We start from the raw sequence: 21,934 nt of genomic DNA on the forward strand, positions 1-21,934 counted from the left end.
CTCGGTTTTGTCAGACACAGATTTTATTCATTCTAGTGGGTGTGTAATAGTATCTGCTTGTGGTTTTAATTGGCAATTCCCTAATGACTAGTGATGTTGAAGATCTTGTCGTGTGCTTGTTTGTCCTTAGTATATTTCCTTTGGAGAAGTGTCTGTTCAAATCTCTTGTACATTTTCCTATCAGGTTGTTTGTCTTTTTATTATTGAGTTGTAGCAGTTCTTCAAAGAGAAAAATTGATGTACCTTTTTCATTTCAATGAAGGCTAACTTAGCAATTTTTTTGTTTCGTGGCTTGTGCTTTCTGGTCCTATCTATGAAATCTTTGCATATCCTAAAGCCACATATTATCTTCTATATTTTCTTTGAGATGTGTTATGGTTTTATCTGTTATTTTAAGTCTATGATCTATTTTTTAAATTTTTATGTATGGCATAAGGCATGGATTGAAGTCTATTTTTTTGCATCTGGATATCCAGTTGTTTCAGCACTATCTGTTAAAAAGTTTATCATTCCTTTTTGAATGCCTTGGTACTTTTACCAAGGGTCAATTTATGATATATGTATGGATCTATTTCTGGCTTCTCTTTTTGTTCAATCTGTGTGTCTATTCTTATGCCACCACTGCACCATCTTAATTATGGTAGCTTCATTTTCAGTCTTGAAACCATCCAGTGAAGTCCTACAACTTGTTCTTGTTTTTCAAAGTTGTTTTGGCTATCCCCTCCTCCTCCTCACCCCAGGAATCAGAGGTTTCTGAAAAAATAAGGGTTTCTTTTCTTCCTATTTATTAAGTTTAAATAGAAAAGGCTCTTTGGAGGAGGTGAGAAAATTAAGAGAAAGTGGAAAAAAATCCAGTCTGCAGGCTCCACCAGCAGTAGTGATGGTGGTACCAAGATGGGTGGGGATGGGGCAGGTGACCAGAAGCAATTTTATGATTTCTCCCTTCTCCTGGAGCTCAAGGCAGCTCCTTTAGAGAGGTTCCCTGGCTGTTTCCTTCTGAAGGCTGGGGATTCAGTCTGCTATCCTCAGCTTGGTGAAGGGAGGGGGATCCTCCTTCAGAGTTGCCCCCTGGGACTTCCGGCTTGGCCTCCTTTATTCTCCTGCTGGGAGCACCTCCCTCCCGCTCAAGCCCTCTCCTGCTTCTCCCACTGTGGTACTGCACTCTTCATCAGTTCTTCTAAACCACTCAACTATTTTTATGGCCATGCAGTGGAACCCTGAGTCTGACACTAAATATAGATGTGGGAAGTTACAGCGCACAGCCTCCTGTAATCCTGTGAGCCTGGCTCTGGATGCGGCTTTCCTGAGCTCCTTGCTGCACTTGATGCTCCTTCCCCATCTGGCCAGCTGGCCCTGACTGTTGCTCCTCTGGCAGCGCTACTCCCCCATCTTCCTGGTTCTTTAAGAAACAGGGAGGCCCAGCGCGGTTGTTCATGCCTGTAATCCCAGCACTTTGGGAGGCCAAGGTGGATGGATCACTGGAGCCGAGGAGTTCGAGACCAGCCTGGGCAGCATGATGAAACTCTGTCTCTACAAAAAAGTCAAAAAGAAAGTATCTGGGTGTGGTGGCACATGCCTGTGGTCCCAACTACTTGGGAGCATTGCTTGAGCCTGGGAGGTTGGAGGTTGGAGGTTGGAGGTTGCAGTGAGCTGAGATCGTGCCACTGCACTCCAGGCTGGGCGATGGAGTGAGACCCTGTCTCAAAAAAAAGAAAGAAAGAAAAGAAAGAAGCAGGGTTCTTTCCTGACTGACCCCCAGCTTCCCCTCTTCCTTCAGGTCTGCGCTGCCTCCAGTGCAGACCATTGACTCCCATCTCGCTTGGGAGATGCCTTGGAATTCCCAGAGCCAGCTGCTCCTTGATGGCCAAGGAACACAGCCTCCTACCCTGGTCCAGTCTCATTCTGAGTGCGGCAAGCTCCTGCCCAGCCCAGCCTCACAGCACGACTAGGGATCCCCAACACATAAAAACCTCATACTGGGCCCACAGACTACCTCATGTTTAGGTTTTACCACATCCATCCAACAGTCCAGCTGCCCCATCAGAACTCATCAATATGGGGGATTTGGGACTGCTGAAGCCACAGGGGACTGAATTCTGCTTCAAGCCATTGGCCCTGGAAGAAGTCTTTGGCTGGGATTCTGTAAGCTTCCCTCAAGGAACATGGCCCAGTCTCAGTTCTTGGCTTTTGGAAGAGAAAAAGCCAGAGACCGAGAATGACGATGTTCCTTTTTCATAGAGGTCCTTCCATTGCCAGTTTCCTTCGGCCCCTCCAGCCGCAGAACTCGCAGGGCCACAGCCTTGGGCTGTGGTTCCCATGACTACAATGTGAATGGTACCCCCAGACTTGTGTGTCACAGGGGCTCTGAGAATGCCCCTCCCAGGCTCGTGCTGTGAGGTAGATTGGGGGCTGTATGGTTCCAAAGGCCTAAGGCACTTGAGTGGTTCCCCTGCTGCCCCCACCCCAAGTGTGGTGATTGCACTCGGGCCTACGGGGACCTCTCTCCTTTCTTTACTTCTCCAGCAGCGATGGGGAGCAGCCGAGATCCGGGTCCCGGGCCCCCTCCCTAAAGGCCCCGCATCTCAGGATTTGCTCGACCTGCTGGGACCCTGTCTCACTCTGCTGTAGGCCTCAGTTTCCACCACAATGAAATAGGGATGCAGAGATGCTGCATGCCACCATCTGCCCTGGTGTGACGATTCAGGTACAGAGAGCTGAGCGTGTTGAGTGTGCAGCCCCTGGGAAGCAGGTTCTGAGAACAGCTGGTTCTTGCTGTATTGAGGAGACATTTTCTGCCCCTTGGTGCTCACAAAATGCAGCACTGGTTGATTTCAAGAATGCAAGAAGCATTATCTGAGGAAGAAATACTTCCTTTCTTTCTGTCATTTTCACAGATGAAATAAAAGGGCTGGGTCAGGAAGGTGAATGAATAAAAGGTACTTTTGTGTGGCCTTTGCCTTTATAATGTGCCTTGCCATTCGCTGTTGTATTTGCCCTCCTAAAAGCCCTGCAAGGTGCAGGAGCTACTATTATCCTAGCTTTACTGGCAAGAAAACTGAGGCTTTGAGAGATAAGGACTTAAATGAATGCACACAGGGATTGTGATCCACTTGTGGAGAACTGGTGCACCTGGCATGGACCCCCCCAAAGCTTCACTGGGGTTTGAGGGTGGTGGCAGGACCTCAAGCCAGCCCTCCTGAGGTAAGAAAGCCTTACTCTGGGGTCTGTGGACAGAAGCAGGTTGTGCCCATGGTCCCCTGCCTCCCAGGTGGACAGATTCTGATGGGACATCCTGGCAACAACCTCAGGTTGGTGCCACCAAGAGATCCCGTCCCTTCCTGTCCCCTGCTCACCTTGCCAGCCCCTGGTGTCCAGTGTCCATCTGCTATGGTGGCAGTGTTCCAGGGAGGGTGGGAAGAGAGCAAGGCAGAGACAGAGGGGAAGGCTGTGGCCTGAAGACTAAGGATTCAGGAAGAAGCTTGGAGGCAGCGTCAGAGGATGACCTAGGCAATGATCCCTCTGCCCACGGTCTCAGTATGGCTCCTTTCCAGCTACAACCAAACAGGAACTTGGGCCTTTCTTGATGTGAATGTTTTCTGCTATGTTTTGAATGTTTGTCCCCTCCAAACCTCACGTGGAAATTCAGTCCCAGAGTTGGAGGTGGGGCCTAACTCGAGGTATCTGGGTTATGGGAGTGGCTTCCTCACGAATAGATTAACACCCTCTCTGGGGAGTTGGGGGTGAGTGACTTCTCACTCTGTTAGTTCCCCTGAGAGCTGGCACCTCCCTCCCCTCTCTCTTTTGCTTCTTCTCTTGCTCTGTCATCTCTGCACACACTGGCTGCCCTTCCCCTTCCACTATGAATGGAAGCAGCCTGAGGCCTCACCAGAAGCAGATGCTGCAGCCATGCCTCTTGTTCATCCTGCAGAACCGTGAGCCAAATAAACCTCTTTTCTTTGTAAGTTACTCAGCCTCAGATATTCTTTTATAGCAACACAGACAGATTAAAGCATTCTCCTAGCTGGTGGACTCCCTGAGGCAGGGACTGCAGTGATGCTTCTTTGCATACTCAAGCATTGAGTGCCATCACTATACCAGGCACTGATGTAGGCACTAGGGACTCCCTGCCTGGTCTTGGTAAATGAACACATGAATGCCCGCTTGCCAAAAACCCTTTGAAGAAGAGTTGTGGGCATGATCCTTGACAGGAGCCTGCCTGGGGTTTAGGCTCTGCTACTAACTAGCTGTGTGACCTTAGGAAACTTAAGCTAAGACATGCCCAGGTCAGGAAACTTAGACCATGACCTTGGGCAGGGTGGGTGGCCAGGCTGGTCAAAGGCAGGCAAGGCAGGACTTACAATTCAGCATGAGCTAAACCCTGAAAGAAGACAAGAAGGGTTCTGGCCTAGGCTGAGGAGACCCAAGGAGCAGGAGGTGGATGGAGGAGCGCAGAGGCAGAACTGGAAGACAAGCTCCCCTCTTGGCTGAACTGTCCCCCAGTGGCAGCAGAAGCCCCAACAGCACTGCCGGCCCAAGCCCAAGGTGCTGCAGGTCTTGGGGGCATTCAGTTACCCATCACATGTGTCACTGCAGCTGAGTCTGGGGACCTGGGAGGACCAGCAGGTGCCTGCCCTCAGTGTCTGGACAGACGAGTGGCTCCTAACCTTGGGAGGAAGCCTCTGGGAAACAGGGGCAGGATCAGAACAGAGTCCCCCCAGGCACCACTGTGCCAGCCTATGACCATGTAGGTGAACTTTCCTTCCTGAAATGCCAGCGCTGTGGGTAGTGAACAAGCAATGCTTCTTTGCGTATGCTCTTGATGGCTTTTGTCAGGAATTCCAAACCTGTCCTGGGACCCCGGAGCAGCTGGAGGCCTGGAACTGGGGGTGTAGGCTCTCCACTGTCCTGCACACCTAGGTCCACCTACCCTGCATTGTCTGGGCTCTTGCCTTCTTGCTCCTGCTCCATCTCCTCATTCCATTTTCCCCTTTTCTTCAGGCCAGGAAGCCTTGGGTGCCATCAAAAGATGTTTAGGTTTCAGACAGTTCTCTAAAGTCTTTGATTTGCCCCGGGAATGAACCTCGGGCTGGAAGACTGACCTGGAATTTTGGCCGGGGAACCACTGTAGGTAAATGACTTCTCCACTCAGCCTCAGTTTTCTCATTTGTAAAATGAGGGCTCAGATTTAATTATTTTCTTTATTGCCCTTTAAAAAATTCATGTTTGTTGCATCAATTATTAGTCTATGACCTATAGATTATATATAATCTGTAACAAAAAATGTATTAATGAACAAAAGTCCAAGATAAACATTGCCCATGATCTAGTCTGTGAAATGGCATCAATATTTGTGTTGGTTTCTGACATCTTCCAGCTCTTATCTAGGTTCATATTCAGTTTTAATGGATTTACGGTAATATCACACATGGGAATTGATATTTAACATTGTCAGTCAACATTTTACCCTAAGCATTGCTTTTCCTTCTCTTTTTCCTACCTCCATGTTTTTTCCCTGCTCTCATCTGCTGAGGTAGCCAATGTTAATACTTGGGTTTGCATTCATATATAAATAGAGTACACATGCAAAGAATTTGCATTTGGTGAGAGGAGTCATTTTTTGTTTTATAAAACTGGGATCACTCTTTATATATTTCTCTGCAACTTGCTTTTCTCATTTAACAATATGTTGTGGAAATCCATCCAGACTGAGAGATAGACTGCTAACTAGTTCTTTTTGAATAGGTAGGCGTAATTCCATGGTATGGTTGAAGGTATTACAGTTTATTCAATCATTTCCTGATTGATGAGGACTTGGGCTGTTTGCATTTCCCCCCTCCACCACCACACTAAAAACAATTCTTCTGTTGAAGAAAAGAGTCAAACTCTGTAAAATATTTGAAGAGATTTATTCTGAGCCAAATAGGAGTGACCATGGCCTGAGGCACAGTCTTAAGAGGTCCTAAGAACACGCACCCAAGGTGGTTGGGCTGCAGCTTTGTTTTATACGTTTTAGGGGGACATGAGACATCAGTGACTTATGTAAGTAAGAAAGTGAGACTGAACCAAGGTGCACATTGGTTCAATCTGGAAGGGTGGGACAATTTGAAATATGGCGGTCACAGGTGGATTCAAAGATTTTCTGATTGACAATTGGTTGAAGAGTCATTATTATCAAAAGACGTGGAATCAGTAGAAGGGAGTGTCTGGGTTAAAATGAGACGGTGTAAAGACCAAGGTTCTTATTATGCAGATGAAGCCTCCAGGTACAGGCTTCAGAGAGAATAGATTATAAGTTTTTCTTATCAGACTTAAAAAGGTGCGAGACTCTTAACTGATTTTCTCCTGGATCAGGGAAAAGACCTGGAATAGGAAGAGGATTCTCTACAGAATGTAGATTTTCCCCACAAGAGACAGCTTTCCAGGGCCATTTCTGAAACATATTTGCAGGGCCAATATATATAAAAGAAATGTATTTTGCTGTAAAATAGTTCAGTTTCTTTCAGGGCCTGCTACCTGTCATGTGATGCTATACTAGAGTCAGGTTGGAATTTGCTACAAATTTGTCTTATTGCTACAAAGAGTCTGTTTTTTCAGTCTTAAGAGCTCTGTTAAGACTGTTTTAATGTTTTTTGTTAAATATTAATGCTGGTCAGCTGTGCCTGAATTCCTAAGGGAGGAGGGATATGGAGGCATGTCCTACCCCTACTTCCCATCATGGCCTGAACTAGGTTTCTTTGGAATGCCCTTGGCTGAGAAGGAGGTCCATTCAGTCAACTGGGGGGCTTAGAATTTTATCTTTCATTTACATTTCCATAAACGCTTCATAATTCACATCTACACAGATAATGGGTCAGGGCAGCCCTCTCTCCACAGCCTCACCAGCACTCATAGTTAGCAGTCTTTTTAATGGGTACCAACCAGTCTGATGGATGAGAAATGGCATCTCAGCGTGACTTTAATTGGCATTTTCCTATTTACTAGTAAGCATCTTTCCATTGGCTATGAATTTGTTCTTAATTTGAGTTTGTGAGGCAGAATAGCACAGATGTGAAGCGTATTTGTTGGCTCTTTAGGGTTCTCGTTCTGTCAACTGCTATTCCTATGCTTTGGCTGTTTTTTCTGCTGGGTTTGTCTTTGCACCATGAATGTGCTGGAGCTCAGTGCAGAGTATTAACTTGCCTTCTGTCATACATTTTGCACATATACTTTCCTAGTCTATCATGTGTCTTTTGACTTATTAGGGTATTTGTTTTCATACAGATTTTTTTCTTCACTTTATGTAGTCAGACATGTTTATCTTTTTTTAATGGCTTTTCAGTTCTCCATTTTGTTTTTAAAATCTCCTCAACACATAAGCTATATTCCTAAGCTTCCTTCGATTTTTTCCTTTTAATTTCTCTCATTTAAACATATAACCTTTCTGGAATTTACTTTTTGTCAAATTAAGGTTGGCTCAGACAGGTGTGATGGCTCATGCCTGTAATCCCAGTGCTTTAGGAGGCCAAGACGGGAGGATTGCCTGAGGCCAGGAGTTCGAGACCAGGCTGGGCAACATAGTGAGACCTCTATCTCTATGAAATTTTTTTAAATTAGCTGAGCCTGGTGGCACATGCCTGTAGCTGAGACAGGAGGATTGCTTGAGCCCAGAAGGCCAAGGTTACAGTGAGCTATGATCACACCACTGCACTCCAGCCTGGGCAACACAGCAAAGCCCTGTCTCTAAAATAACAAACAAAAGTTAAGATACGCTACAGTGTTCTTTCTTCCATGCAGATAGCCAAATTCAGCACTTCCTGTCTACACTCTCAGACCCTGTGGGCCCCCAACACGTGCCTGGGAGGTGGCTACCAAATTCGGGGCTAGGAGGTCTGGGGAAGTGGTACAGATGCCCCTTCCCCCAGCCATGGAGATATTCTACTTTTGTTGTTTTACAAAATAGGCTTCCAGTAAAGATTTGGTTTGGACAAAGTGTTCTGAAGCTGAAGGAATTTTGAAAATCCCTTTCAGATGATCTCTGGGGGCCCTTCCAGGTTTGACATTCTCTGACTCAGTAATGCCTAGGACGGCAACTGCTTATTAAGGAAGAGAAGGCAATGGGTCGGTGTATCTTTATCCAAAAGTAATTTCAATATTGAATCCCAGGTTGGCTCAAAGCGGATATTGGAATCACAGCATTTTAGAGGTGGAAGGGACCTAGGAAATCCTCTAGTCTAGTGCCTCTCAATCCTGGCTGCCTTTAGAATCACCTGGGAGTTTATTAAAAAGTCCCGGTGCCCTGGACTGATGCCAGACCACATAAATCAGAGTCCTGGGGGGAAGGGAAGGGTCTAGGCATGAGTCGTTTTAAAAATTTCCTCATGATTCTAATATGCAGCTAGGGCTGAGAACCACTTCGCTAGTTCAACTCCCTTATTTCATTAGTAAGTCAGCTGAAGCCCAGAAAAGGTTAGCCTCGTATGACACAGCTGGCGAACTGTAGAGCTGGGACTAGAACCCAGATCCCTGCCTTCTGCGTTGGCTTTTTCATCGACACCAAATGCCTCATCAAGCACCACTCCTTGGATTTTTAGCTGGCAACACTGAAGTCCCTGTATGAATGTTTTGTATCTTTGTATATGATCAGCTTAAAAGTATTCACTGCACGCAATTCTGTGCATCCTAGACAAATAGACTTAGTTCTACCTTGCAGGACCATCGTGGAGAACAGGGTCATAAAGAACAAACTACGATAACAGAGCAGGACATTTGGTACATGCACGCGAAAGAGCCTGCTGCGGGGAGGGCGTGCAGAAGTAGGAAGGGTGAGTTCCCAGGGAGGTCAAGGAGGCTGCACACAGGAGGTAGCATCTGAATTGAGCCTAATGGGTGATTTAAGAGGCCTCTGATGGACAGAGCATCGATGCTGCACTCTTGCCCAGAGCAGTGATTGGCTGCCTGATTTTTACACAGGGGCTCAAAAGGGCGGGGGTAGGAGCAGCAAGATTTCAGGGCAGAAATGCTTTAGTGTCAGGCAGGGCGGGGACCCAGCCTGCCTCAGGCGCTCTGATCTCCCTCTGCTCTGCCCGCAGGAATGAGACCGTGCTGCACCAGTTCTGCTGCCCAGCCGCCGACGCCTGCTCCGACCTGGCCTCCCAAAGGTGGGAACTGTGGCCCTTCCTCCCTTCCGCATCCCCACCTTCCTTCCTGTTACAACAAAGCACGTACCACTGCACTAGCTATTGGGCCTCCTCCTCTTGAGTCTCATGTGGGGTAATTTGTTTGCTTTCACCTCCTTCCTCAGACTTCAGTTTCTCTCTGCTCCCTCTGGACCCCAAATGAGCCGTTCCCAACTTTTAAGGTGATTATGCCCTGTCGATCACACCCCACACGTAGGCTCCTTCCTTCTAAACGGCCCATGTAAAATCTAACTTTTGTAAGCAGCCGGGAAAGTTGATTTGATTGGGGATATTCGTGTCTCTCACACGGTAGGGTGCCTGGCACACAGTGGTGTGCGCTCAGCCCATGCCCAGTGCCCAGCCTTCCTCTTACATCAAGGATTTATACTTTTCTTTCTGGTTTCTCTTCTTCCAGTCAGCCGAGGTGCCTGTCTTTAATGTTAAGGCTCTCTCAGCCCTGGCTGCTTTAGTTGACAGCCTCGGACTGGAGCGGGAGTGTTGAGGAGTCAGGTTTCAGAGCCACAGTCCTGAGCTTTCTCCTCTGTTTTTTCCTGGGTTATCCTCCTGCCCTCTGCCTCCCTGTCCCGCTTCCTGGAGTTCCGTCTCCGTCCCGTGATCAGCCTTCTCCCTCCGCATCTGCCTCTGTCTCTCTGCCCTTGTGTTTCTCGTTTCTCCTCTTCTGTGCCCACGTCGTGCTCCCCACCCGCCCCCCGATCTGTGTTCTGTCAATCTCTCTCTCACTCTTTTCTCTTTTCCACCAGTTTGTCTGTCTCCATTCTGCACGTTTCTCTTTTCTTGACTTGTTCTTTACTCCACTTGGATTCTGGCCTGAAATTTGCCCAGTCTCTCAGTCTCCTGTTATGGAGTGAATTTGGGCAAGTTACTCCACTGCCCTGGGCCTCAGTTTCCTCATCTGGATAGTGAAGGGCTTGGTCTGTCTCAAAAGTGGCATTCACCTATCATCCCGTCGAGTCTCTGAGCTGCTCAGTGGGGCCAGACTGGGCAGGTCTTCTTGTCCCTGAAGGATGAGAGGAGAGTAAGGGTCGGAGGACCCAGAGACTTGTCCACAGTCACAGAGCAAGGACCAGTGCAGCCACAGGAAGCTTAGGGCGCCGGACTCCTCATGCTCACCATTTTCAGGTTTAAGATCCAATGATTCTGTGATCTTTCCCCCTTTATCCTCTGGAAAATAACTGGACAGTGATCAGAAGTGGTGGCTAGTGATCTTGGGGCACAGACAGCCACCCCGTGAAAGGCATTGCTGTTCATTTTGCCTCATAGGGGAGCCAGCAGAGGTCAGAGAAAGAGGCGGGGCTCTGAGGAGGACTCGGAGAGGCCACACACCCAAGAGGCCCTTAAATCCAGGGCTGAGGGAGGGATGGGAGTTACTGAAGCCAACCATGTTGGAGATGGGAGGCTGATGTTTTCGGTGTCCTCTGTGACAAGTTTTGGGCCAGGCCTGGGGACATAAAAGCACATAAGGCCAACTTGGACCCTTGAGAAGTTCCCCATGCAGTGGGACATCAGGATACCCTCAAAAGAAAAACTGCTCACCTGCAAATTAGAAGGAAGAAGAGAAATGGGAGAATGAAACGGTGGAGGGAGAAGGAAAGAGGAGAGCGTGGAGATGTGGAAGACACCAGGATGTTGTAGAGGAAGACCCTGAGTTCCCTGGCCCCTCCCCATAAGCCCTCACTGTTCAGACACAGGGCCCGAGTCTTCTTCCTAGAAACTGCCTTCCTTGGTAGAAGAGAGAAAAGCTGTCTGGCCTGCCTCCAGCTCCATCAATTCAACTCAATTCAGTGAGCATTTTATTGATACTAACCAAGCACCAGGCCTCAGTGAGGATGGATAACACACCCTTGAGAAGCCCAGGCCTGGCAGGGGCGGGCACCAGAGACTATCCCTTGGGCTTCCTGTGGTCTCTCCTCCCATCCACTCTCAGCCTGCAAGCTCGCTCACACACCAGCACTCCCCTGCTGCCTGTGTCGTGCCCACCTGCAGCCCTAGCTCCAGGTGGGAAGGAGTGGGAGAGAGGCGGCCCCAGCAGCACGCCAGAATGTAGGTAGATGTGGGGCAGGGGAGGGGTGCTGCCCTCTCAAGGGGCTGGAGCTCCAAGGGAATAGGGTTATTTTCCAGGGTTTGAGGTGGATGATAGGAAACCCATGACCTTAGTTTCCAAGAGGTTTGTTCTTCAGCTTGTTGTTCACCTTCCCCTGGGAGGTGCGGGCTTTGAGGTTGGGGACAGGAGGTGCTCCGGGGAGGGAGTGTGGGAGTTGGGATATTCTCTTGAATGTTGGTTCATGGAGGCGCCTATACACCCTGCTTACGGGGGCCCTCCCCCTGGCTGGGGACAGGGAGGACTTGCCCCCTGAGATGGTCCAGGGCTTCAGCTGCTGTCTCTAGTTCCCAGTTACTCCAAGTTGTCCTGTCTATCTGTCTGATTTGTAGTTTCCTAGAGCCTGTTTTTGTCTGTCTGTCTGTCTGTCTGATGTGGCTTTCCTGGCTTCTCCGAGAGGAGACCCTCTGGATGTTTTCTGGGCAGCCCAACAGTGTACGTGTTTGCTCTTGGCTTCTTGGGGGAATTCTATGCTAAGATAAGTTTTCCCTGATCAGACTCTCAGCATCCCTGCTCCTAACCCTACCAACGATTCCTTCACCAAACCTCATCCCTTCCCCTAGCCCAGCTGTCCCACCTCCAGAGCATAGCCACAACTTCCCAGTAAGCTCCTCTAGTGGAATGTGTCACAGTCAGAGGCCAGCCTGTGGGGCTGGCACAGGCGGGTAGGTCACACAGCCCTCTGAGGAGATCTGGTATGGACTCTGGAGCTCTGAGACAAGCCAGGCTCCTCCCCCATCAGTCTGGCTCCTCCCCCATCAGTCTGGCTCCTCCCCCGTCAGTCTGGCTCCTCCCCCATCAGTCTGGCTCCTCCCCGTCAGTCTGGCTCCTCCCCCGTCAGTCTGGCTCCTCCCCCATCAGTCTGGCTCCTCCCCTGTCAGTCAGTCTGGTTTCCCGCTAGCTCAGCCAGTAGGAATCATGGCCTCCTGAGGATTTCTGGGATCAGCAGTTGGCCTCCATAGGAGACCCCAGTAAGGAATCCAAAGTCAGTGAATCAGGTGTCAGGACCTTTGTTGTGTGGACTCAGCCAGCCACAGGATCTCCCTGGCCATCCTCCTCTGCAGTCTGGCTAAGGCCGGCCCCCACTCCAGCTCCGGGGCTGAGCAAGGGTCCCTTTCCTGAGCAAGTGCCTTCACTGCAGCACTGCAGTGGCTGCTCATCTATCTGATCAGAGATGTGGAGATGCTGCTCAGCCCAGAGGAAAGTCTGCTCCCTCCCAGAAAGACCCAGGGCCAGAACAGAGCCTCACCCCTCCCGAAGAGGCAGAGAAGCCTCAGCCCTACCGAGGCCAGGACAGCCTTCCCCAGCCACCTGCAGAGGAGCAGCTGGGGGCTGGTGTCAGGGGAACTCTGTCTTGGGGCTGGGAGCCGGACAGGGAGTGATTCTCCCAGGAGTGGGAACACCTGAAATTGAGCACATCTGGAAGCGTGGGTGTCTGCAAAGGGAGGCTGAAGGGAGGGCGTCAGCGATCTGGAGTACAGTGGAGCAGCTACGGGGCTGGCAAAGCCCTGAAAGCCCTGCGAAGCTGGATAACCAGATAGAGTTATTATGGGTTCTGCTGTGCCCTGGTTCCCCAAACCCCCCTAGGAAGGCAATGTATGTCTGCCAGGGTAGTTAGGCCCTCAGGTGGGAGCTGGGGGTGGTGCCTCCTCCCAGCAGCCAGCCAGGAAGCAGCAACTGCGTGCCAGGCTCTTTCTCCCCAGAAAAGATCGCCCCCTGGTCGTTGCCCCTACCGACCGCCTCCCTGCTGCCAGCTAATGACAGGGCTTTATTCTGGGGCGCTGAATATGCCAGTAATTGCAGCCCTACTTTCGATCCTGCCGCCTCCCTTCCCTTTCAGGCTCTCAGTGACAATGACCCGGTAGCTGGCCAGCTGCCTCCCAGCATAGAGCCCATTTGTCTCAAGGGTGATAATGGGGCCAAGATGAGGAAGGTGGGCCTCTATTAGAGTAATGGGAGGAGGCGGCTGTGGGAGAGGGTGGGGCTCAGGAGAAGGAGGTGGGCTTAGGAGGGGAGGTGGAGTTCAGGATGGGGAGGCAGGGCTCAGAAGACGAAGTGGGGCTCAAGATGGAGAAGGTTGGCTCAGGAGGGGAGGCGGGGCTCAGGCAGGAGAGGCGGGGCTCAGGAGGGGAGGCGGGGCTCGGGGGGTAGGTGGGGGCTCAGGAGGGGAGGTGGGACTCAGGAGGGAGAGGTGGAGTTCGGTGGGGAGGCAGGGCTCAGGGGGAGGTGGGGGCTCAGGAGGGGAGGTGGGGCTCAGGAGGGAGAGGTGGAGTTCAGGGGGGAGGCGGGGCTCAGGAGGGAGAGGTGGAGTTCGGTGGGGAGGCAGGGCTCAGGGGTAGGTGGGGGCTCAGGAGGGGAGGTGGGACTCAGGAGGGAGAGGTGGAGTTCGGGGGGAGGCAGGGCTGGGGGGAGGTGGGGCTCAGGAGGGGAGGCGGGGCTCAGGCAGGAGACGTGGGACTCAGGTGGGGAGGCAGGACTCAGGAGGGAGAGGTGGAGTTCATGAGGGGAGGCGGCTCGGGAGGGGAGGCGGGGGCTCGGGAGGGGAGGCGGGGCTCAGGAGGGGGAAGTGCTAGGCAGGAAACAGAACAACCCCTAGGCCTCCAGAGCAAGAAGGGATCTGGGTAGGGGTCTAAGGGGCACTCTGAGCCTCTGCTAACTGAACTGACTCACTGCTGGTCCTTGCTTCTTCCTTCTCAACCACCCCATCCTTACTCCAAGATGGAAGACATAGTGAACACATTATTTATTGAACGTGCCAGGGACAACGTGCTGGGCACTCTTGATATTTTATCTCACGTAATTCTGTGAGATAGATGTTATTCCCATTTACAGATAAGGAATCCAGGATGGAGAGAAGTTAGGTATCTTGGCCGAGGGACCACTGCTAATTATTTCTGGAGCTGGACAGTGAACCCAGGTCCAACTCCTACACACAACGTCTTTTCAAAGAGCTGCTGCTAGAATTTTTTTTAAGCGCTCAAGAGAAATCCTCCCATCCATTTCACTGGATCTTAAATAACATCTATTTCCTCTGATTATAAGTCATACACGCTAGTTGTTGGAAATGTGGAAAATACAAAATATAAAGAAGAAAATATAAATGGGACTTCATCATGTAGAATTAACTGATGTTAATATTTTAGTGTGCAGCCTCCCAGTGTTTTATTTTTCTCTGCGTTGGGTTTTACGTCCTTCCCACGCCCATTTTAAAAAAAAAAGATTTTGTAGTCTGCATTTCCCACTTGGCGAGGCGTACTGCGCCCCCTTAGAGGCCTCCTACCCTAACCACTTCCTCCCGGGCCGCCCGCCCTGGTGGCCCACGTGGCTGGCGTCGTTGCCGCTAGGCAGCAGCAAGGCAGGGGCTCTGCCGAGGCCGCCACGCGGGGTACCCTGGAGGACGGGGCGCGCTTCCGAGAACGGCTGCGGGGATAGCCCTGCATTGGCATAGCTGGGGCATTTCTGCCTCTCCTGCCTCTTTCCATCGGCTGTGATGGGGCCTGAAACATGAGCAATGGACCAGCCAGTGTTTACCCAGCGATTACGGAGCAATTAAATTCTCAGTCGATACAGTTACGTCTTCAAACAGCTGGGCTGGGGCGCCGCGGCCTCACGTGCCTGCTCCGGGAGTCGCATCCAGGCTGCTGAGAAACCGGCACCACGCACTGGTGGCTTAGGGCGGCAGCGTGGGTCGGTCGGGCGGTACAGCCGCGTCCTCTTTCCCTAGAAAAGGGCAGAAAAGCCCTCGGCTTCCCCCACAGGCCCCATGGGGCAGGCCCACCCTGCCTGCCTGGCCCCAAGCTCTGGGTCTCTGCCTCCCGCCCCAGGAAAGCGATGGCGGCAGGGGAGGTTAAAGGAAGTGTTCTTTGTCTCCTTCATGGTTCACTGGTTGGTTGGGAGAGGTCTTTGGAGAGGTTGGGATGGGGTGAAAATCCCCACAAGCCCCCTGCAGTGGCGGGAGCATCTTGCCCGCTGGCAGGGGCAGGGTGGGGGCGGGAATCCTGGGGTTTGAAGCCTGGGCTCTGGGGTGGGACAGAGTGGCACCTGCACAGAGGGGAGCATCCTGGGGACAGGGGGCTTGCTCCTGTGGATTGGGCTTTGAGAGCAGGTGTGCTCCTGGGTGATCTGAGGAGCTGTGTAGTTAGAGCAGAATCCAGCCGACCTGGGCTCCATGCCCAGGAAGATGGCCGAATTCCGACGTGGAGCTACAGGAATCTGCCCTAGGGAACTGTGTGACCTGTCACTTTACCACCCTGTGCATTTTTGTCTCATTTGTCCTGAATCGCCAGATTCAGGAGGCATAAAAACCAAAATAGAGGTCAAAGTACTTTGACACTTTGGGAGGGCGTATTAAAATATCCCAGAGAGTATTAGGAAGGTTTTGTCTTGTCATTGAGTTTTGACTTTCTGTCCAGAGGGCTCTCCTCAGCAGGGATGTGAAACTCCTGTTTGGAGTCAGCTATTTGCCCAGGCCAATTTCCTTGTGTAATTTTCCCTGCCAGGCCTTGAGCATCCTCTGAGACTGGCCCCTTCATGTGACCTAGGCTGTCGCCAGAGGGTGCTTGGGAAACCTGTTGGTGCTTGGGCTGCCCTCAAATTGCTGCTCGTTAAGGCACGCAACTTTTTGTCAGCAGCATGTTTAGAGATGATTGGAGGAGAAGTCCTGCTAACTCTGTGTCGGTTTTGTGTCTCCCACCCATGAGAGAGAGGAAGCAAATACTAGCCACCATGTCCTGAGTGCTTGCTATGTGCTATGCAAGAATTATCTTGTTTAACCCCTAATAGAAGCTGGTGAAATATTATTCCCATTTTACAGACAAGGAAACTGAGGATCAGAGACAACGAATGCCTTGAGCATGGTCCATGTGGCTGATGAAGAGCAGAGCTAGGTTTTGAACCAGGTGCTTGTCAGTTGCAGCCTGTAACCACCAGGGCAGGAGGATAGCAGAAGGCAGGTGTTGTCAAGTATGGGAAGCGAAAGTGAGGCAGGAAGGTGAACAGCTGCTTCCCATGTCCCCAGCCACAGCCAGCGGGTGGCTGAGAGCACATAGGTTATTGTTCAGGGCCTCAAAAGGCCTGGCCTCTCTTCCCTGCCCCTCCGCCCTGCCCCTTGAGGCCATGTGTGGACTCCAGAGGAGTGACGCAGAGAATATTTTTAGGGACAGAAACAGCAACAACAGCAATGCTAGGCTTTATTAGTTAAGGAAATACCCCTAACTAAAGATAATACTTCCAGAACAAGTGAGAGATGCCACGAGGAACATCTAAGCTTTCTCTAGTCCAGGGTATTCGGTAATGCAGTTTTATCCAGTTTTCTGGGAAATATGTTCTTGTTTCATTTACTGGAAGCTTCTTGTTGGAATCTTTTGTATCTTCTTTTCTCACTTCCAGGAAGAGTAACCTTTGTAGGCGTAGAGATTTTTCTAATCCCACTATTTCTTGTGCTTTGTTTTATTTTCTCTTCTGAAAGTTCTTTACCCATTCACTTATCTTCTGACCAATAACATGACCATAAAAATGATTTTGTATCTGTTTGTATGACAAAAAGGGTTTTTAATTTGTTTCATCAAACCAAAAACGAAGAAATAATCTATAGCAAGAGTGATTTGATCAGATATGGCATTCTTAAGACATTTTACTGCCCTCAAGAGACCATGGAATGGCTTAAGAAACGAGGTTTTTAGAGATTTCTTTTATTATGATTAAAAAAACAAAACAGGAAGGACAGCTGCCTATGAAGAAAGACTGGAGTGTGTTGCTGTCTCCAGCAGGGACACTTTCCATAATTCCTTTAGCACCCTCAAGTTAAAGTGGCTCCCATTGTCTGAATCAGTATTTTCTACCAGGCCAAATCTGGGTATAATTTGTTCTAAGATTATTTTGACCACATCCCCGGCAGTGGCAGCTGGGAGGGGAAGGCCTCCACCCTGGAGAGGTGGTCTACCATTACCAGCAGATACGTTAGTCTCCCTATTTTGGACATTTCTGTAAAATCTACTTGAATGCTTTGAAATGGCCTTAACCCAGGAGGTTTCCCTCCGGTAGTCTGTTTTCTTTTTTTTTTTTTTTTTTTTTTTTTGAGACGGAGTCTTGCTCTGTGGCTCAGGCTGGGGTGCAGTGGCACAATCTCGGCTCACTGCAAGCTCCGCCTCCCGGGTTCACGCCATTCTCCTGCCTCAGCCTCCCGAGTAGCTGGGACTACAGGTGCCCGCCACCGTGCCCGGCTAATTTTTTTGTATTTTTAGTAGAGACGGGGTTTCACTGTGTTAGCCAGGATGGTCTCGATCTCCTGACCTCGTGATCCGCCCACCTCGGCCTCCCAAAGTGCTGGGATTACAGGCGTGAGCCACCGCGCCCGGCCGGTAGTCTGTTTTCTAACTACCTTTTTGTTTATTCTCTGGCAGGTCACATAACACCCACACACTTGTTTAACAAGGGTGTAGATCCCTATACACCCGTAATTCTTGAGTATTGCATCACACATGGCCTGGGGACCCCAGTGACCTCCCTTACAGAGTATGGATATCAGTTCTCTCCTTGTGAGTTTGCTTATCATTTCGGTCCCATCAGGGAGCACCCACCTCCCATCCTCAGTTTGAGTGGCCCTATCTTGCCCAGCTCTTCCTCCTCCTCTTCAGAAAGTTGGGGTTTTAATACCACCTTAGGGATATCTGGGATTAGGCCAAATAGTTTAACTTCTACCTCCAGGGAGGCTGCTTAGCAGCTTTATCCACAAGCCTGTTCCCTAACCCTAACCCTAACCCTAACCCTAACCCTAGCTTCTATAGAGTTTCCTTTCTGATGGCCGTTTACATGAACTATGGCTACCTCTGCTGGAAGCAGGAGGCTTTTTAAAACTTGTTTGACCAGTTTCCCATATACCAATTCTTTCTACCTGCTATTTATTAGGCTCCACTTTGTCCAGATCTTTCCAAAGGTGTGTACTACTCCATAGGCATATCTGGAAATAGCATATACAGTGCCTTCTTGGCCTTATATGAGCTTCAGGGCTTGGTTAAGAGCATGTAATTCACAGGTTTGGGCTGAGCAGTTATTGGGTAATCTACCTTTTTCTCATAAGGTTTGTTTGTTTCCATCAATGACAGCCTGGACATTGTGTCTTTTACCATCTATCACTCAGGATGGCCTATTCACAAACAGCCTCATTCCATCGAGTAGTGGAATTTCTTTAAGGTCTGGTCTAACTTTGGTTTGATATTCTATCATATGTAAACAGTTATGGTCTGATACCTGCTTATTCTCCTCTCATTTCCGTAAGAAACTGACTGGAGTTCATTTAGGCGCCTTTCCAGGGCCCACTGACCCCAGGAGGAACTTGAGGAGGCAAGGGGCTGACCAGCTGGCCTTTCAGGGTGTCTTTAGCCGGGCTCTGCCGGGTCTGGCTCTGGGCCAACAGCTGCTGGTTTGAAGAGCTGCCAGCCTGTGGTGCCTTCCCTGATGGGCACTCTCATCAGCAAAGGCATCCCTGGCTCCTTCTTTGCTTTGAAGGCACCATCCGTCTCCCTGGCAGGCCGAGAGCTGCACTGTTTGTATTCCACGCCACCCCTGCTGGTGACCCAGCAACTGCAAAGGGTCCCAGGTTTGTCCCGCTCTGGGAGGGGACTTGGTGGCTTTTCGTCAGCTGCAAGGGTCGCCCCTTGGCCCAGCCCAGCTCTGGGAAACAGAACTTTTATACACCCCACCTCAAAGCATCCTGGCGGACTTCTCCCCAGCACGCGCTCTCTCTACTTCAGGGATTGCAAACTGGCATTTTCTATCACCTGTATTGGGTTATTAAGTTTTTTTAACTGATCACCAGCATTTAAAAATCCTGTTTCACATAAAAAGTCAGAATTCTGGCCTCTGACAAAGCAGACAGTCTGGCAACACAGGGCTGGCACTGTGAGAACAGTCGAGCAGCTGCAGAGGTGTGCCCTCTTCAGTTAGCCACAGTCCCCATCCAGCCCTGCAGCCCTCCTTCTCACCATTTGCTGGCCGTGTTGTCCTTTGAGTTTATAACCCTAGTTCGGATCTTCCTTATGTAGCCCCCCGGCCTCTCTGCAGCCTTACTGACGGCTGCCCCTGGTGGACTCACAGCCTCTCAGTGAAACAGCAGCAAACCTTAATGCTCATCTCATCCACTCACCCTTCCACATCCTGAACCCTTTCTACACCCTCCTGACAAACAGCCATCTAGTCTTTGCCGTACGCAACCCACTATTCCTCAGGCAGCCTGATCCTAAACTCTCCTCCACATCCCCTTCTCACTTGCATCCCCCAGTTCCCGGACCCTGTCCCTCCTCAGTGGCCGCACTGCACCCTTTCCCAGCACCTCCTTGTTGCTTGAGCCTCTAGAACCTTCCCCCAGCCCTGCCAACCTCTCCACATCCTCTCACTTCCTCTTGTACTCTTTCTTCCTTTTGCATTATTTTTCTCCCCAGTCTTAACTTTGGTGTCTCTCTTTGATCTGTCTTTTCCAGTCTCTTGCTCTCGCTCGTTTTCTTTTTCTATCTATCTCTATCATCCTGTTTCCTTTTTCCCTCACACTTAGTTTCTTTCTCTTTCTCTCTCTGGGCACAAGCTAAACTGTGCTGGGCCCTGGCCCCTGACAATCTGCAAAGATGGACAGCTCTGTCGAAACAACAAAGATTCAGCAACAACTTTTATCAACAGCTTTCAGCAGCCAGCTTCCACACACAGTTGTGTGGCCGCCTCTCCCTTGCCTTCAGGGTCAGCAGCTTAACTCTTTCTCTCTCTGGCCCTCTATGTTTGCCATTTCCTCCCCTTTGTCTTTCCAATTTTCTTTTTTACTTTTTCTCTTTCTCCCTTTTCCAGTTTCTCTTTTCTTTCTTCTTACAAAAACCTTCTGAGCTTCCCTCAGTAATTCCTTAATCGGTTTTTCATTCCACCTATCAATCTTTTGCAGTTTCTTAGTAATATCAGGCCAGCTTTTGTCACAGAACTAAGTCCTAAAAGGCCTTGCCCTACTGGGTGCTCTGGACCTAATCCTGAATATTTTCTTATTTGATCCCTGAGCCTCTGCAGAAATGCGGAGGGAGTCTTCTCTTTTTATTGTTGGATCTCGAATGCTTTCAAGACATTTTGTGTTCTAAGAGTGGACTTTTTAATCCCTTTAATTATTAGTTCCCTTGGGTCCTGCACTGGGGCCTGATCTCTGAGGTTATTGTTATCCCCTCTGGGATTTGCATTTGGGAATTTCTGCTCAGCTGGCAGGACTCCTTACCCGGGAGAATGGGGTCTCTCCCAAATGGTCATGGCTGCCCTTATAATCATTCCCCTCTCTTCCCCAGGAAACAGAATATTTATGATTGACATTATCTTAGCCCAAGTATAAAAATGGGGTCATAAAAATTGATCTAGCTGCTCTGCTAAACCGAGGGGGTCTTCCCAGAGTGGCCTCATTTTCTTTTTAGAATTCTGAACCTCAGTACTTGCTAGAGGCACACTCACAAACCCAACAAACCCAACTCCTCTCTGTCCCGTAGAGACTTCTCTAAGAGGGTACCTGTTAGACATCTGCTGTTTAGAAGGAACGGGGAAATTCTCAATGTCCTTCTTACATTGTTCTAATTCTTTCCTCTAGTTTGGATAAGGATTTAAGGAAGCATTGGGTTTAGCTTCTTCGTGACCCCCCGATTCCTCTTCCTCCGACCTTCTTGCTGCCCCCCGATCGCCCTGTTCTGTTCTTCCTGAGATGTATGGGGGGGCAAGCGTGTTAGGGGATCCCAGGGCTTTTCATTGGGTGAGGGCTTTTTACTATGCTCTTTTTCTTCTTTTTAAAGGGGAACATGGGGGTTAATTCACTAATCCAACAAAGAGCATAACCTGTCTCCTCTCGTGAGGATGGAGTTTTATTATTCACAGAAAATTAAAGCTTGGCACACCCAATCCTCATCTGAGCCAAACTCAGGCCAAAAGACCAAAGGTTGACGAATGGGCTTTTTGGGCCAGATAAAACAACAAACTTTATCATCTTTTGCTTTTCCTTGTCCCTGGTTTGAGGACTATCCCTTCAAACCTGCAGCATTCTCCCCAGCGGACTATTTGGGGGAATGTCAGAAGGGTTCTCTTTAGTTCCCTCTTTCCTCTGTTCTCTAGGCCTAGAATTCTTGTTTCCCATTTTTGGTTAGTCTCTGTGTCTGAGCTTTTCCCTGTGTACTCAGCCTCCCTTACTGGAGGTTTCTTACACACCCCAAGACCTCCGAAAATGCACAACTACCAAGCAGTACTTACAGATCAATTTTCCTACCTTGGCTCATGCGTGAGGTTGCCTGGTTGCCTGCTTTTCTCCCTGTGTCACTTTAGTTGTCTCCTGAATAACAGTTTCAGGTTTGTCTATGGCTTCTTCGGGGAGCTGAGACACCTGGACAGAGTGGGCCACACAAATCGAGTGGGACACATCTCCCCTGTCAGCTGGAGTCTCACTCCATGCAGGCATGGAAATCCCCATATGGGCCACCAGGTTGTGAGAAACAGACTCACCCGTCCAAACCCAAAGAATGGACTCAGAGACCCAGAGAACAGCGAAAGTGAGACTTGTGATGACGGTCTTGCAAAATCGGGTGTCTCTTGAGCAGGCACACCCAGCACAGTTTCAACAAGCAGTTTATCCCCTAGTGCACAGGTCTCTCCCCTGGTTCCT

At 49.8% G+C, this 21,934-nt stretch overlaps 1 protein-coding gene and 1 long non-coding RNA gene across 8 annotated transcripts in view; one reads left to right on the forward strand and one right to left on the reverse strand.

The window, feature by feature from the left end:
- Positions 1-21,934, forward strand: part of IQSEC3 (IQ motif and Sec7 domain ArfGEF 3) — a 111,689-nt gene that overhangs the window by 23,311 nt on the left and 66,444 nt on the right. For all 7 annotated transcript variants that reach the window (NM_001170738.2, XM_011520958.3, XM_011520960.2 and 4 more), the window contains one exon: positions 9,069-9,137. In NM_001170738.2, coding sequence (NP_001164209.1) covers positions 9,069-9,137 — 69 coding nt within the window. Of the gene's footprint in view, positions 1-9,068; positions 9,138-21,934 lie in introns of those variants that run through there.
- IQSEC3-AS2 (IQSEC3 antisense RNA 2) lies at positions 16,447-21,684 on the reverse strand. The gene is made up of 2 exons (NR_184284.1): positions 21,542-21,684; positions 16,447-16,800 (listed from the first exon to the last, which is right to left on the reverse strand). It is a non-coding gene; the product is annotated as an IQSEC3 antisense RNA 2 (long non-coding RNA).

This window comes from Homo sapiens, chromosome 12 (assembly GCF_000001405.40).
Source record: "Homo sapiens chromosome 12, GRCh38.p14 Primary Assembly".
Lineage (NCBI taxonomy): Eukaryota > Metazoa > Chordata > Mammalia > Primates > Hominidae > Homo > Homo sapiens.